The sequence below is a fragment of the Homo sapiens genome, chromosome 14 (assembly GCF_000001405.40).
Source record: "Homo sapiens chromosome 14, GRCh38.p14 Primary Assembly".
In the NCBI taxonomy this organism is placed as follows: domain Eukaryota; kingdom Metazoa; phylum Chordata; class Mammalia; order Primates; family Hominidae; genus Homo; species Homo sapiens.
Window position 1 is genome coordinate 105,879,569 of NC_000014.9, and position 15,684 is coordinate 105,895,252.

Here is a 15,684-nt window from a genome sequence, read left to right on the forward strand (position 1 = left end):
TGGCTGCCTCTCACTTCCTTAGTCTCGGCTAGTGGAGCGGTTGGAGCTGGAAGCCTCACCCCCACCCTGCCTGCCCCTGGGCACCCTGAGGCTGCCTTCAGTGAGGAGGTGACCCCAAGCTCAGGGCTGACCTGCACCTGGCACTCTGCGGCATGAACCCAATGCAGGAAGAAAGGAAGGAGGGAGGAGGGAGGGAACACAGGGGCGCTGGGAGCGAATGCAGACAGAAATGGCAGTGACCCGAGTGCCAGGCCGTCCTGGTTTGGGGTTGAACTGTGTGGAAACAGCTCCCTGGCTTGTGTGTAAGTGGTTGGGGGAGGGCATGGAGGTCTGGGGCAGGAAGGGGTGGCAGGAAGGCAGCTCCCGGCCCTGAGGGTCTGAAGCTTATCTTCTTCCTGTGAGCTGGCAGTGGGCGGCTCCCTGGGGCTGTGCCCTGGACTGGTGGTCTGGTGGTGCCCAGGCCTCCCAGGGAGAGCAGGGCAGCTGGGGCTGGAGGAGCCCTGGGGCCCAGTACCCACACCTGTGCCCAGCGCCGTCAGGGGGGACCGGGGCACGAGGCTCCTTTGCCCAGGAAGGGAAGCGAGTGAGTGAGACCTGGAGCGCCCACCCTATGGGCGGCTCCAACCCTCCTGGAGGGGGACTGGGCAGGGGGTAGGTGTGTGTGTGCAGGTGTGGGGGGATGAGGAGGGGTGGGCTCCAGCCTCTGGGAATCCTGCCAAGGGCTTGGGCACTGCAGGGTTGCTGGACCCGGGCTGCCTGGTGTGGCCATGGTGGCTGCATCCCCAGAGCCGGGATGGAGGCGCAGTGGGGACCGGCGCCAGGGAGTTGCCTAGTGGTGGCTGCATGGAGGACCTGCCCTGCATGATGCCCCTATCTTGGGGGGCATGGGGTCCACATGAGAGGAAGGGGCACAAACCCCCTCCTGGGGGTCTTCCTGAGACCACCTCAGTCAGGGCTCTGTGCTTGGTGACTTTCCAGAAGGTCCTCCCTGCACAGACCCCAAAGTCTGTGTTGCCCCAGGGCAGGAAAGAAAAATCTGTGTCCTGGTCGAGGTTGGGCCCCACAATGGTGGCCCCTAAACCTGAGTCTGCTCCAAAGCACCCGCCCCTCAGCAGGCCCTGAGTGAGGGACAGAGACAGCGGTGGGGTCTTTGATCCAGGTGGACACGGGGGTGGATCCCAGTGGGAAGTCACCAGGGCCAGGGTCCCCCAGGGTATTGGGGTGTCTGTGTTCCTGGTGTCGGCTCTGGATTTGGGGTTTGTGCCTGTGCTGCCTGGGGGTGATGTTGGGAGGTGCAGATGGCCCCGGCCCCCGTCCTCACCATCCAATGGGGACACTGTGGAGCTCCAAGTGCTGGGGGTCATGAGGGCTGGGAAGGTCGTATGTTCGGGCGGCTGGTCCCTTCTCTGGCTGGGCCTCCAGCAGTGGCCGGGAGACAGTTTTGGACATAGCTTTTCTCACAGTGGTAGTAGCTCCCACTATACCCACCGTGACTCGGGGCTGTTCAGAATCCACCCAGGCGCCCTGAGCTCTGGGGCCTCCTGGGTAGGGGCTGGGCTGCTGCGTGGGGTCTCCTGTGGAGGCTCTGGCGGCTGTGGCTCACCTTAGGTGTGGGGTGAGGACTGGCAGCCCCAGCTAGCGGCACCCACAGAGCCTGAGGCCTGCACACATTCTGCCTGGGTGTGTGGGGTGGGTCCGGGCCCCTCTGGGCAGGATGGCCTCAATGGGGAGGGGGCTGGGATTCCCGCCTGGCTCCTCCTCGGGGTAGAGGGGACCCATCTCCTGGCCCTGGATCCCCTCAGGCTGCCCCTGTTTTCTCAGGAACACTGAACAGGGCAGGGCGCCCTGGAGGGGAGACATCTGTTGGCTTGAGTGTCAGGTGTGGCCTCAGATCCTAAATGTGTCCTGCCTGCTCTCTCTGCCTTCGGCTGACTTGGGATGGGGTTTCTGTCCTGCCCAGTGTCATTGTGGTAGCCGCTGCTATACCCGACTGTGACACAGACAGCTTCAGAAACCTCCTGGTTTGTTTGGGGGCCTTCCCTTGCTGGGCTCAGCGCGCCTCTTGGACTTGGCTGCCCTGGACAGGGGTGTCCCTCAACACTGGTTCTGGGGGGCCTGTCCCTCTGTCTGGTGTCTGGAATGGGGGTCCGAGACAGAGGCCAGCTGCCTCACAGCCAGCAGGGGCCGGAGACAGGTGTTCCACCCATGGTGGGTCCTGGTGGGCCTGGATGGAGCTGAGGTCTGTGCCAGTATTGGGGTCCCCATATCTTGCTCCTTCATGGCTCTGAGCTCCCCCTGGCAGGACTTCTTCGGGGTGCTGGGTCTGTCCTCTGTGGGAGGGGCTGCCCCCAGGCCCAGCACTGCAGTGGAGGGCTCACTGAGGGGCTTTTGTATCTGGCCTGAGCCGCTGTGGAGGTATTCCACTGTGAGAGGGTCCCGCACAGATTCTCCCATCCTGCTTCTCCTCCCAGAGCCTGGAGGGGATGGGATCCGGGGGTCCCAAAGGTGGATCCTAGACCCAGGGGAGGGGGGCCTCTTCACTGACCTCCCCTTCCTCCATTCCTCCCTCCCCAAAGCTGCCCTGGCGGCCCCCCTGCACCCCAGCCTCTGTCTGCACTGGCTCTGCCGGCTCTGGTGTAGGTGGGACTCAGGATGGTGTGGACGACGTGTGGCCAGGGTGGAGAGGAGGTGGGCGGGTCGGTGGGTGAGAGGGATGGGCTCATCCAAGATGGAGCACCTGCAGGGACCTGAGCCCTCCCCCACACCGTCCCTGGTCCTTCCCCGCAGCCTGCCACGGTGGGAGCCCCAGGCAGGGTGGACCATACCCTCTAGGAGGCTGGCACTTCCCTGGGTTCACGAAGACGGAGCCTCCTGCCCGGTGGTGCAGCGGCCCCGCTTCCTCCTTCAGCCCTTCCTGATGGCTTCCTGGGGATTCTGGATTCCCATGGAGTGATGAGAGGAGAGCAGAGGGGAGGAGGGGCAGGGCTGGGTCCTGGGTAAGGGGGTGCTCGGGCTGGGGTCCCTGGAGAGAAGTTCTGGGTTCCTGGGGGCCAATTAGGCAGGCGTCCTTTCTGTCCACACCCCAAGGGTCCCGGCAGGAGCCAGGTGGGGGAACCATAAGGAGAGGGCCTGTGTCCTGTCCCCCCAAGTCCTCTAGACAGGGTGGGGGCTGAGGGGTCCTCCCCAGGGCAGGGCCAGGCAGTGACTCTGGTGTTGGGTTGTTGGTCGTCATGGGCTGACCTGGGGAGTGGGGGTTGCAGAGTAGAAAGGGGCGGACTTAGGTAGGGCATGGCACAGTCATCCCTGTGTTCAGGCCATTTCCTGTCCTGGGTGCCTGCACTGAACCTCGGCAAGGACAGGGGTGGCCTCCCAGCCTACAGCCTGCCTGGGATCTGCTCTGGCCCTAGAACTGGGGACAGAAGCCATCCTGGAGGTCAGCAGCCTCCTAGGACAGCAGGAGGAGACCAGGCCAGCCCCTAGCAGGGGAGGCAGTGGGGATTTTGGTAGGGTCTGCGTTGAGAGCCAGTACCCAGTAGTCACAGAGCAAGATGCCCCAGCAATATGTCCTATCTGCAGCCGTCTGCCCACCCTGTCTTAGCCAGGGCAAGGGAGGGTACTGTGCCCCTGGCAGGCCCAGCCTTTGGCCTTCCTTGGAGGGATGAGGGCCTGGGAAGCCGAGCTGTTGGTGGCGCTGGGAAGAGGTTCCCAGGACAGGGGGATGGAGCTTAATCAAGCGGCCTGGTTGGGGTTGGGTCCTTCTGCAGGCTGGCCACTCAGTGATGGGGATCTCCGGGTGGTCCCTGCACCTAGTGCCAGGATACACACAGTGCTCTGGGCCCACTGTCTGGGCTCCCCGCCTTGTTTCCAGGGGGCTGGGTGGTTCTCCAAGGCTCAGTTTCCCCACTGTGGAGTGGATGCTGCTGGAGGGATGAGGATCGTAGAGCACAGCTTGGCAGCTTCTGTGCCTGCTGCCCCTGGGGACCTGGGCTGTGGGACGGGGCAGGCTTCCCCATCAGGGCTGGGCCTGCCGGGAGCCCAGCACCCTCACACGCCCACACTGGGGGCTCCGTGGCTCTGTGACTCCATGGCTCTGTGGTGCTGCCTGCACCTCTCAGGGCGGGAAGCTGCCTTTCCCTGCCAGCCTTTGATTTCTATCTCAGTCATCCCTGCCCTGGAGCACAGACCTCCCACTGAGGGAACCCTCCCCACAGAGGGCCAGAGGGCAGACAGCAGCCTTGAGAGCCCCAGGAGAAGCAGGTGAGCTGGAGGCCTGGGGCTGCGTGGCAGGGGTCTGTCTACTTGGCCTGGTTGCTGCTATGGGCGGCACCACTGTGGTAATTGTAGCCATCTCTACCACGGCCTGGCACCCCCTGACAATAACCACACCTGGAACTGGAGGCGGGGCTGTCAGGAGGAGCTTCCCAGGGAACAGGGAGGGTCCAGACAGCTGTGCCAGGGGCCCCCAGTGCTAGAGAGCCTGGGGGCTGCTCAGGGACCAGACATGCCCTGTGTCCCCCTGGAGAGGCCTCTGCAGCCTCCTGGGCTCTGGGACGGGTCTCTGGTCAGCAGGAGGCTGGGTGCTCCCCGGCATGTGCTCTCCTGCCCTCACTGGTGAGCTCCTATGTGGCCCAGTGTGGGCCCAGCTCCAGCGTCCACTCCTGTCGGCCTGGCCGAGGGTCCCAGCAGAACTGGGCATGGCTCCTTCTTAGGGGCCTCGAGGACTCTCTCTACAGCTGTACCTGGGGCTGGGGGCTCCACAAGTGGTCTTTGCCAGGTGGGGACGACAATGGCAGGTGTTTCTACATGGGCAGGTGAGGGGAACTGTCTGCGGCCTGGCCCTGCGGAACACAGCGGCCTCTCAGAAGAGGGTGTGTGGGAGTCCTGCCTGTTGGGAGCCTGGCGGATGCTGCCCTCTTGATTCCAGCCAGGATGGGAATCCAGGCAATTGGCAGGAGGTACTGGAATGAGGCTGGTGTCTACAGTAATTCCCGGCCCCAGGAATTGGCTTTTGGAACTGGGGCATCTCTCGGAACAGGGTCTGGTGCAGCTGGCAGTGAAGGGACCAGGGCACCTGTGGTCATGAGTGAAGTCACCTCAGAGCCCTCTGAAGCCCCTGTTTGGCAGCACACGGTGTGCAGGGCATCAGCCCATCGGCTAAGATGGCCCGGGTGTCCCTAGAGGCCGAGGGTCTGGGCACAAACCCTCGGGCCTGGCTCTTGTGCTCCTGGAGAGCTCCGAGCCGAGAAGTGTGCATAAACCCTGCGAGTCCGGTCAGTTTTTGCTGCTGGTTTCATCACTGTGGGAGTTACCACCGTAGTCACACAGCAGGAGGGCCCTTCACAAAAAGCCCCTGAGTGTGGCCAGAGGCCTTTCCCACACAGGCCCTGGTCCAGGCGTCTGGGGCCCCCATTGACAGTGGTGCTGCGTCCTGGGGATCTCAGGCCTTTCTGAATCTTCCCCGCCTGCCATTGAGGGCAGGTGGGTCTGACTCACCCTCCCGGGCTCCTGTCCCCTCCAGGAGGGGGCTGAGGTGATATCTGGCAGGAGGGTGTGCAGGAGTCAGGCCTCCTGGAGTTTGAGCCCTGGGGCAGGTGCAAGGTGGGGATACCTTTTAGGGGTCTGGGAAGGGCTGGGCTGTCCCCATGGGCCATCGCGTGTTCTGGGGGCCGTCCTGATCCAGATGTGCGTTCCCGCTGTGATGCTGCTGAGGACTGTCCTGGAAGAGGGTGGGAGAGAAGAGAAACCCTGGAAGAGGGTTTCTCTCACTGGGGAGAGAAACAGGGATTTCTGGAAGGTTCATTGTCTCTGACTGTGTGAGGTGAGTCCTCTGTTGGCTTCCCTGGTGAGGTCTGGAAATGAGCAGGACTCAGGACAGCCAGGCAGGATGAGCGACTCCCAGCTCCGGCTGTCCCTGGGAATGTCTTGGAAATGACCCAGGAGAGGCTCAGGTGTCAGGGCCAGGCAGGCCAGGGACCACAGGGGCAGTGACAGTGCACAGGGCCAGCCCCGCCCTCCTGCTGCCCCTACTCTGACATGGGGGGCTCGCAGGGTTCACACACGTGGCCCAGCGTTCAGGGAGGGGCTTCCGGGACTGCTGGGTGGACGGCAGCAGATGGTGCTATGGGGCCGGCCCTGTCTCCATCTGGTTTGGCGTTGGGAGGGCAGCAGCGATGCAGACCCCTTGGAGCCAGATCTGGATGACCTGTAGGGTGACCTTGGCCATCTGTTTCATGGTCTCTGGGGCTGGTGGGCTGGAGCCCATCATGGTCACTTGTGGGCCTGTCCATTGTTTCTGCTGCCCCGTGTGTTTGGGTCATGGGCTGCACTGCTGTGGTAGCCACCATACCCATGGCGCCGTGTCCTCGATCAAAATCCTAACACGGCATGCAGCGGTCCCCCGCAGGGAGGGCTGTGGTGGGAGGCTCCCAGGCATGAGTTTTTGATGGACTCTGTGACACTGTGGTAGTAATAACCACTACTATCATAGTAATACCACAGTGACACAGACCTCACTTCAAACCTACCGCCAGGCCTGGGGAAACCCGGGATGTCCAGGGCTGACCTGAGGAGGCAGCAGGGCCCCGAGGGGAGGCTGTGGGCCCAGCGCTCTCAGGTCTACTGCAGGGACACTCGGGTCTGTCCCTCGCTTAGGTGGACACTGTCCATGCCCACCTGTGTCCTGAGGCTTCACCTCAGGCTGACATCTGTCCCTACTGTCCCTACCCACCCCATGGCCATGTCCTTTCGGGTTCATAAATTGCCCCCAAATCACACAGGCATCATTCTGGGGCTTTTTATATTCCCTGGGCCACCAGGTGCCTCCACCCAGAAAGGTCAGATGTGGGAGAGTTGCAGAGTCATTCCCCAACCCTGGATGAGTCCCTACAGCCTCAGTGCTACTCAGGCTCCAGCAAGACCTGGAGCAGGTGCAGGTGAGGCCCGAGGCCAGGTGAGGTCCAGGTCAGGTGAAGCCCAGGCCAGGTGAGGTCCAGGTCAGGTGAAGCCCAGGCCAGGTGAAGCCCAGGCCAGGTGAAGCCCAGGCCAGGTGAGGTCCAGGTCAGGTGAGGCCCAGGCCAGGTGAGGTCCAGGTCAGGTGAAGCCCAGGCCAGGTGAAGCCCAGGCCAGGTGAGGCCCGAGGCCAGGTGAGGTCCAGGTCAGGTGAAGCCCAGGCCAGGTGAAGCCCAGGCCAGGTGAGGTCCAGGTCAGGTGAGGCCCAGGCCAGGTGAGGTCCAGGTCAGGGGAGGCTGAGGTGGATGTGTGAGGCTTCTGCAGTTTTCTCTGGGTGCTCACCCTGCCTGGTGTCCCTGCCCCTCCTCTCAGCACCCACTCTGTGCCTGCAAGGTGGTGGCCCGTGCGCAGGTGGTGGTGGCTGCGGAGGTGCTGGGCTCTGCCTCCCTGTGCATGGGTGTGCATCTTGGGTTCTGGCCAGGGAGTGTGGCTGAGTTGCTTCTCTCTGGAATGCACTGACTGTACCTTCCTTGGGGATATACAGCTCTGTGCCTGCTCCACATCAGGCCCCAGGAGCTGCCAGCAGGTGCCTGCCTGCCCTGCCACACAGTGAGCCTGCAGCCTGTCCGGGGATGCCCAGGGAGGTGATTGCCACCACACATCAGGCCTTTTCTCTTTAAAGTCATTTCTTTGGGGATACATCATCGATGTCTCATATACTGAATGTATGTCTGTATCATTGTGCAATTGCCTGTGTCATCGCTTATTTATCCAACCTGGGTTAATGTCTTTGCTATTATGAACAGTGCTGGACTGAGAATTTTCTAAACACAGGTGTGTGCATTTTCCTCTTCTTGCGATTTAGAAGTTTAACTGCTGTTTTCAAGGTACTGTAATGTATTTGTTCTGTTCTTGTTAGGAGACTTGCCGACTCTGTGTGTCTCAGCTCATACCCTCTTCCTTCCCCAGTAGAAGTAACCACCACTGTGTTTATGTGATCATCGTTTTCTTGATTTTCCTTATAGTTTTTCCAGGGGAAAGTTTATCCCTTAAGAAGATAGTTCATTTTGCCGGGTGTAAATTTTATTTAGAAGAAATCACATTAAAAGTATTTTTTGGGCTTTCCTCTGTTACTCCAATTACTCAGCATTGTCATGAACTCAACCGCAAAGCCGCCTGTAGCTCTCTACTGTTGTCCTCTGGCTGTCCTAGTTTGTATTTCATGAACCTGCCATCGTTTATTTGTCTGTTCTCCTTCAGATGGACGTTTGCTTTGTCCAGCCCCATAGTTTGGGGCTATGACAAACAGCTGTTCTGCACATCTTTGCCCATGAGGTTCTCAGGAAGGGCTCTAGGGCTGGCATTGCCTGAGGGTTCTGCTTTGTCACAGGCAGTTCCTGCCAGTGCTTTTCAGAGTGTCTGTGCCCAGCAGCAATGCCTGAAGGTGCCCACTGAACTTTGCCTTGGCATCAGGCACTTTCTGTGTGCTTGCTTCTGTGCTGCTCCACATTCTGGAGGATTTATTCAGATCTGTGCTGCAAATGCATTTCACTGATTCTCTCTTTAGCTGTGTCTACATCAGCTGTTAAGCATCCCATGATGCAGCATTGTGGGCACAGGGCAAACTTTCAAAAGATGACAGTGTAGGATAGCGGCTGCTCCTCCTTCCCTGTGCTCTTCCCACACTGTCCTCCTGGGCTCACTCCCAGCCATTGATCTTGAATACCAGTTTATGGAACTCTCTGCACAGGAAAGCAGAAACAGCAAAAGGCCCTGCTGAGGCTCTGCCCACATCCCCTCTTGCACACCTGCCAAAGCTCTTTCCTTGGGGCCTGTGCAAGCTTCCCAGCTGCTTCTCATTTTCTGTTTACTCTGCTCACTGGCTGGTGGGGTGATGTCTTGGGGAGAGTCTGGTGCATTTTGGGCATTGATGGACACCCCTAGGCCATACTTCCCAGATGCTCCCCCAGCCCCTCAGTCCCAGGAGTGGGTGCGTTTGCAGTAGGGCTTTAGGAATGGGGTTGTGTCACTGTGGGAATAGCAGTCACCACCACAATATGCTCACAGTGACACGAACCCCCACAAAATCCTCCTGTCCCTACAGGAGACTGGTGTCACCGAGTCTCCTCTTGCTGGCTCTGGCCTGGCTCTCCTGCTGAGACTGTGCATTCCAGCGGGTTGTTGTCTGAAACTGAGCCTGTCTCAGAGAGGACTCTGAGCCCAGTGCTGTACAGGGGGCTCCTCCTTTGTCCTGGGGGAGTTGCGTGGACCCTGTTTTTGGTCAAGGGAAGCATTTGATGGTGAAGGAGACCTCCCCTCCTCTCTTTCTCAGGAGCCCCCTCTGATGCTGTTGCCTAGTGTTTCTTGGGGCTGGTGCTGGGGGCTCAGCAGTGTCTGCCCTGTTCCAGGTGGGACTGTGGGTCTGTTCTCTTTCCACGGGGTGTTCTGGGGCCGCCAGTGAGGGGCTCGGGATGTTAGCGGCTGGTCTCTGTCCCTATGGTATGGGCTCCGGTTCACTGCTCCCCTGCCCTCCAGGTCGGTCACTGACTCGGTTACTATCCAGCGACCTCCGTGGCTGTTCAGTGGTGGCTGCAGGTCTCTTCCCAGGAGAGGCCTGCGAGAGGGCTGGGCTGTCTGGGAGCCCTGCATTCTCCCGTGATGTTGCTGCCTGGATCCCTCATCTTTAGAGGGAGTGCGGAGCCTCCCTGCAGGTGCAGGCAGTGAGAGACACAGGCGGACGTGTGTCAAGGCACTGGAGGCCGATTTCTTTCAGTGCCTTCTGCCTGTGGAAGAGCTGAGCTCCCTGCTTCTGCGCACAGGAGGCTCCCGTGTAACCAGGCAGTGAGGGCAAGGGCCTGCATGGGGAAGACTTGGGTGAGCCTTTGTCCTGGAAATACCAGGGCCGGGTCTGAGAGGGAGGGGAGCGGGGTCAGAGTGTCCAGGAGGAAGGTGATGGCATGGGCAGTGTGTGGGTGGGAGTGTAGGGTCAGTGCCATGGCTCAAGGGCTCCAGGAGAGGAAGAACTCAAGTTGTGGGCAGGAGGGGTTAGGGGGTGGGCACAGGTAGGAAAACCTGAGGCTCTTGTGGCAGAAGAGCGGAGGGCCTGCAGGTGCAGAGTTGGCCTGGGAGGGGTGTTTAGAGGGAGGGACAGGGGTCTGGTTGCAGATCAGGGTGAGGACTGCAGGGTCACGTACCCAGGGTTGTTTGGGTGGGCGGCAAGTGCAGCAGGTAGAAAAGGCCCGAGGCAGGGTGGGGTCTCCCCAGCGTGTGGGCTGCAGGGAGGGGCTGCACAGGGTGTTCCCCAGAAGGAGGGAGCACAGAGGCACTGGGAGGGAATGGAGAGGGAAATGGCAGTGACCCTAGTGCCAGGCAGTCCCGGTTTGGGGTTGATCTGTGTGGGAACAGCTCCCTGGCCTGTGTGTAAGTGGTGGCAGGAAGGCAGGTCCCGCCCTGGGGTCTGGAGCTTATCTTCTTCCTGTGAGCTGTGTGTGGGTGGCTCCTGTGGGCTGTGCCCTGGACCTGTGGTCTGGTGGAGCCCAGGCTTCCCAGGAACGGCAGTGCTGTCTGGGCTGGAGCAGCCTTAGATGCCAGGTCAGGGTGGCCCTGGGGCCACTGCCTCCAGCTGTGTCTAGTGCTGCAGGGATCTGGGCATGAGGCCCCTTCTCCCAGGAGGGGAGGCACGTGAGTGAGACCCTAAGTCCATACCCCATGGTGGCTTGGCCCTCCTGCAGAGGGTCTGGGCAGTGGTAGGTGGCTGTGTGCAGATGGGGGGTGGGGGGTGGGGAGGTTAGCCCCTCCCAGACGCACCCTGCTCTGCTCCAGAGTGTGGGCTTGCCCACTGCAGGGTGGCTGGGCCTGGGCTTCCTGGTGTGCTTGTGGTGGCTGCATTCCCAGAGCAGGGACTGAGGTCCAGTGGGGTCCCGGGAGGAGTCTGAAGGGGGCTCCATGGAGGACCTGCCTTGGATGGCACCCCTATCTTGGGGAGGACCTGGGGTCCAGCTGGGAGGAAGTGGAGTGGCCACCTCCTGAGGGCCTTCTTGGGGCCACCTCGGCCTGGGGGCTCTGTGATTGGCCACCAGCCAGTAGTTCTTCCCTGCCCAGACCCCAAAGTCTGTGCTGCCCCAGGAAAGGAAGGAAGGGTCAGTGGCCTCATCAAAGTTGGGGCCCACAGTGGTGTCCCCTAAGACCGAGTCTGCTCCCAAGCGCTCGCCCTGCAGGAGGCCCTGAGTGAGGGACAGAGACAGGGCAGGGCCTTTGGTCCTGGTAGACTCTGGGGCGGATTCCAGTGGGGAGTTATCACGGTTGGGGTCCCCCAGAGTGTTGGGGTGTCTCTGCTCCTGGAGTTGGCTCTGGATGTGGGGTTTGTGTCTGTGCTGCCTGGGGTTGATATTGGGAGGTGCCGGTGATCCCTGTCTTTCTGAGGACACTTGTCAGAAGGGTCAACTCCAGCCAGAGGCAATGGGGCCACAGCAGAAGGATGTGATCAAGTCCCTGCCGCAAACCACCGGAGCCCCCAGCCCTTGTCCTCATTATCCAACGGGGACACCGTGGGGCTCTGGGTGCTGGGGGTCATGGGAACCGGCAGGACATGGGTTCAGGCCGGCTGCTCCCCTCTCTGGCGGGGCCTCCGACTGCTGCCAGGAGTCAGTTTTGGACACAGTTTTTCTCACGGTGGTCGTTCCAGTTATACCCACTGTGACTCGGGGCTGTTCAGAATCCGACCAGGCGCCCTGAGCTCTGGGGCCTCCTGGGTGGGGGCAGGGGCTGGGCTGCTGGGCGGGGAATGCTTAGGGGGCTCTGGAGGCTGGGGCTCGCTTTAGGTGTGGGGTGAGCACTGGGGGCCCCAGCTAGCGGAACACCCACAGAGACTGGGGCCTGCACACATTCCGCCCCGGTGTGTGGGGTGGGCCCAGGCCCGTCTGGGCAGGTCAGCCTCAATGGGGACGGTGCTCGGGTCCTGCCTGGCTCCTCCTTGGGGTAGAGGGGACCTATCGCCTGGCCCTGGACCCCCTCAGGCCGCCCCTATTCTTGAAGAAACGCAGGACGGTGGAGGGTGCCCTGGAGGGGAGACGTCTGCTGCCCTGGGTGTCAGGTGCGGCCTCAGATCCTAAACGTGTCCTCCCTGCTCTCTCTGCTTCCGCTGACTTGGGACGGGGTTTCTGGCCTGGCGAGTGTCACTGTGGTACCAGCCACTGCTATACCCCACTGTGATACAGACAGCTTCAGAAACCTCCTCGTCTGTTTGGGAGCCTTCCCTTGCTGGGGTCAGTGCCCCTTGGTCTTGTCTGCCTTGACGGATCATCCCTCAACCCTGGTTTTGGGGGGCCTGCCCCTCTGTCTGGTGTCTGGAGTGGGGTCCGAGACAGAGGCCAGCTACCTCACAACCCGGAGACAGGTGTTCCTCCCATGGTGGGTCCCGGTGGGCCTGGATGGAGCTGAGGTCTGTGCCTGTATCGGGGACCCCATATCCTGCTCTTTCATGGCTCTGAGCTCCCCCTGGCAGGACTTCTTCGGGGTGCTGGGTCTGTCCTCTGTGGGAGGGGCTGCTACCCAGGCCCAGGACTGCAGTGGAGGGCTCACTGAGGGGCTTTTGGGTCTGGCCTGAGCCGCTGTGGGGATATTCCACTGTGAGAGGGTCCCGCACAGATTCTCCCATCCTGCTTCTCCTCCCAGAGCCAGGAGGGGATGGGATCCGGGGGTCCCAGAGGAGGATCCTGGACCCAGGGGAAGGGGGCCTCTTCACTGACCTCCCCTCCCTCCATCCTTCCCTCCCCGAAGCTGCCCTGGCAGCCCCCCTGCACCCCAGCCTTTGTCTGCACTGGCTTTGCTGGCTCTGGTGTAGGTAGGACTCAGGATGGTGTGGAAGACGTGCAGCCAGGGTGGAGAGGAGGTGGGCGGGACGGTGGGTGAAGGGGGAGGCTCACCGAAGATGGAGGAGCACCCGCAGGGCCCTGAGCCCTCCCCCACACCGTCCCTGGTCCTTCCCCGCAGCCTGCCACGGTGGGAGCCCCAGGCAGGGTGGACCATACCCTCTAGGAGGCTGGCACTTCCCTGGGTTCACGAAGACGGAGCCTCCTGCCCGGTGGTGCACGGCCCCGCTTCCTCCTTCAGCCCTTCCTGATGGCTTCCTGGGGATACCGGATTCCCATGGGGTGATGAGAGGAGAGCAGAGGGGAGGAGGGGCAGGGCTGGGTCCTGGGTAAGGGGGTGCTCGGGCTGGGGTCCCTGGAGAGAAGTTCTGGGTTCCTGGGGGCCAATTAGGCAGGTGTCCTTTCTGTCCACACCCCAAGGGTCCCGGCCGGAGGCAGGTGGGGGAACCATAAGGAGAGGGCCTGTGTCCTGTCCCCCCAAGTCCTCTAGACAGGGTGGGGGCTGAGGGGTCCGCCCCAGGGCCGGGCCAGGCAGTGACTCTGATGTGGGGCCCTGGTTTTCGTGGACTGGCCTGGGGGGTGCGGGGTACAGAGCAGGAGGGGGCTGACTCTGTTGGGGGATGGCGCAGTCATCCCTGTGTTAAGGCCATTTCCTACCTTGGTCACCTCCAGTGAACCCTGGGAAGGAGGGGGTGGCCTCCCAGTCTGCAGCCGGCCTGGGATCTGCTCTCGCCCTGGAACTGGGGACGGAGACATTCTGGAGGTCAGCAGCCTCCTAGGACTGCAGGAGATCAGGCCAGCCCCTAGCAGGGGAGGCTGTGGGGATTTTGGCGAGGACTGCGTTGTTTGGGAGCCAGTGCCCCACTAGGCACAGTGACAGACACCCCAGCAGTATGTACTGTCCCCCGCCAGGCTGCCCACCCTATCTTAGCCGCGGCATGTGAGGTTGCCCATCCATTGGCCTTCCGTGCAGACATGAGGCCCTGGGATGTTGAGAACAGACCTCCCACTGAGGGAACCCTCCCCACAGAGGGCAGAGTACAGACAACAGTGACCTTGAGAGCCCCAGGAGAAGCAGGTGAGCTGGAGGCCTGGGGCTGCACAGCAGGGGCCTGTCTACTTGGCCTGGTTGCTGCTATGGGCAGCACCACTGTGGTAACCATAGCTGTATCCACCACAGTCTGACACCCCCTGACAATAACCACACCTGGAACTGGAGGCGGGGCTGTCAGGAGGAGCTTCCCAGGGAAGAGGGAGGGTCCAGACAGCTGTGCCAGGGGCCCCCAGGACTGGGGACGTGGGGGGCTGCTCAGGGACCAGACATGCACAGTGTCCCCCTGGAGAGGCCTCTGCAGCCTCCTGGGCTCTGGGACGGGCCTCTGGTCAGCAGGAGGCTGGGTGCTCCCCGGCATGTGCTCTCCTGCCCTCACTGGTGAGCTCCTATGTGGCCCAGTGTGGGCCCAGCTCCAGTGTCCACTCCTGTCGGCCTGGCCGAGGGTCCCGGCAGAACTGCGCATGGCTCCTTCTTAGATCCCTCGGGGAGTCTCTCTACAGCTGTACCTGGGGCTGGGGGCTCCACGAGTGGTCTTTTCCAGGTGGGGACGACAATGGCAGGTGTTTCTCTAGTGGCAGGTGAGGGGAACTGTCCAGGGCCTGGCCCTGCGGAACACAGCGGCCTCTCAGAGGAGGGTGTGCGGGAGTCCTGCCTGTTGGGAGCCTGGCGGATGCTGCCCTCTTGATTCCAGCCAGGATGTGAATCCAGGCAATTGGCAGGAGGTGCTGGAACGAGGCTGGTGTCTACAGCAATTCTGGGCCCCAGGAATTGGCTGTTGGAACTGGGGCAGCTGTTGGGACAGGGTTCGGTGTAGCTGGCGGGGAAGGGGCCAGGGCACCTGTGGTCATGAGTGAAGTCACCTCAGAGCCCTCTGAAGCCCCTGTTTGGAGCAGATGGCATGTGGGGCACCAGCCCATCCGCTGTGATGGCCAGGGTGTCCCTAGAGGCCGAGGGTCTGGCTACAAACCCTCAGACCTGACTCTTCTGGTCCTGGAGAGCTCCAAGCTGAGAAGTGTGCATGGTCCCTGGGTGTCCGGCCAGTTTTTGCTGCTAGTTTCATCACTGTGGTAGTCACCGTAGTCACACAGTAGGAGGGGCCTTCACAAAAAGCCCCTGAGTGTGCCCAGCGGCCTTTCCCACGCAGGCCCTGGTCCAGGCGTCTGGGGCCCCCATTGACAGTGGTGCTGCGTCCTGGGGATCTCAGGCCTTTCTGAATCTTCCCCGCCTGCCATCGAGGGCAGGTGGGTCTGACTCACCCTCCCGGGCTCCTGTCCCCTCCAGGAGGGGGCTGAGGTGATGTCTGGCTGGAGGGTATGCGGGAGTCAAGCCTCCTGGATTTTTAGCCCTGGGGCAGGTGCAGGGGGTGGGACGCCTTTTAGGGGTCTGGGAAGGCCTGGGTTGTGGGGCTGTCCCCATGGGCCATCTTGTGTTCTGGGGGCCGTCCTGATCCAGATGTGGGTGCCTGCTGTGATGCGACCGAGGAATGTCCTGGAAGAAGGTGCCCACTGGGGAGTGAGACAGGGATTTCTGGAAGGTTCTTTGTCTCTGACTGTGTGAGGTGAGTCCTCTGTTGGCTTCCCTGGTGAGGTCTGGAAACAAGCAGGACTCAGGACGGCCGGGCGGGATGAGCGACGCCCAGCTCCGGCTGTCCCCGGGAATGTCTTCTATCTTAGAAATGACTCAGAAGAGGCTCAGGTGTCAGGGCCAGGCAGGCGAGGGACCATGGGTGCAGGGACAGTGCACAGGGCCAGCCCCGCCCTTCTGCTGCCCCTACTCTGACATGGGGTGCTCTCAGGGTTCACACATGTGGCT

At 61.7% G+C, this 15,684-nt stretch overlaps 10 gene segments (V, D, J or C) and 1 further gene; all 11 read right to left on the minus strand.

Annotated features, from left to right (window-relative positions):
• IGH (immunoglobulin heavy locus) overlaps nucleotides 1–15,684 on the minus strand; it is a 1,293,408-nt gene that overhangs the window by 293,132 nt on the left and 984,592 nt on the right.
• On the minus strand, nucleotides 1,466–1,485 carry IGHD1-26 (immunoglobulin heavy diversity 1-26). The segment is given in 1 exon segment: nucleotides 1,466–1,485. A coding segment is annotated over 1 exon segment (20 nt), but the record flags the coding sequence as incomplete, so codon positions are not given.
• Nucleotides 1,971–1,988, minus strand: IGHD6-25 (immunoglobulin heavy diversity 6-25). The segment is given in 1 exon segment: nucleotides 1,971–1,988. A coding segment is annotated over 1 exon segment (18 nt), but the record flags the coding sequence as incomplete, so codon positions are not given.
• Nucleotides 4,335–4,354, minus strand: IGHD5-24 (immunoglobulin heavy diversity 5-24 (non-functional)). The segment is given in 1 exon segment: nucleotides 4,335–4,354. A coding segment is annotated over 1 exon segment (20 nt), but the record flags the coding sequence as incomplete, so codon positions are not given.
• On the minus strand, nucleotides 5,302–5,320 carry IGHD4-23 (immunoglobulin heavy diversity 4-23 (non-functional)). The segment is given in 1 exon segment: nucleotides 5,302–5,320. A coding segment is annotated over 1 exon segment (19 nt), but the record flags the coding sequence as incomplete, so codon positions are not given.
• Nucleotides 6,463–6,493, minus strand: IGHD3-22 (immunoglobulin heavy diversity 3-22). The segment is given in 1 exon segment: nucleotides 6,463–6,493. A coding segment is annotated over 1 exon segment (31 nt), but the record flags the coding sequence as incomplete, so codon positions are not given.
• On the minus strand, nucleotides 8,983–9,010 carry IGHD2-21 (immunoglobulin heavy diversity 2-21). The segment is given in 1 exon segment: nucleotides 8,983–9,010. A coding segment is annotated over 1 exon segment (28 nt), but the record flags the coding sequence as incomplete, so codon positions are not given.
• Nucleotides 11,623–11,639, minus strand: IGHD1-20 (immunoglobulin heavy diversity 1-20). The segment is given in 1 exon segment: nucleotides 11,623–11,639. A coding segment is annotated over 1 exon segment (17 nt), but the record flags the coding sequence as incomplete, so codon positions are not given.
• On the minus strand, nucleotides 12,131–12,151 carry IGHD6-19 (immunoglobulin heavy diversity 6-19). The segment is given in 1 exon segment: nucleotides 12,131–12,151. A coding segment is annotated over 1 exon segment (21 nt), but the record flags the coding sequence as incomplete, so codon positions are not given.
• IGHD5-18 (immunoglobulin heavy diversity 5-18) lies at nucleotides 13,974–13,993 on the minus strand. The segment is given in 1 exon segment: nucleotides 13,974–13,993. A coding segment is annotated over 1 exon segment (20 nt), but the record flags the coding sequence as incomplete, so codon positions are not given.
• Nucleotides 14,940–14,955, minus strand: IGHD4-17 (immunoglobulin heavy diversity 4-17). The segment is given in 1 exon segment: nucleotides 14,940–14,955. A coding segment is annotated over 1 exon segment (16 nt), but the record flags the coding sequence as incomplete, so codon positions are not given.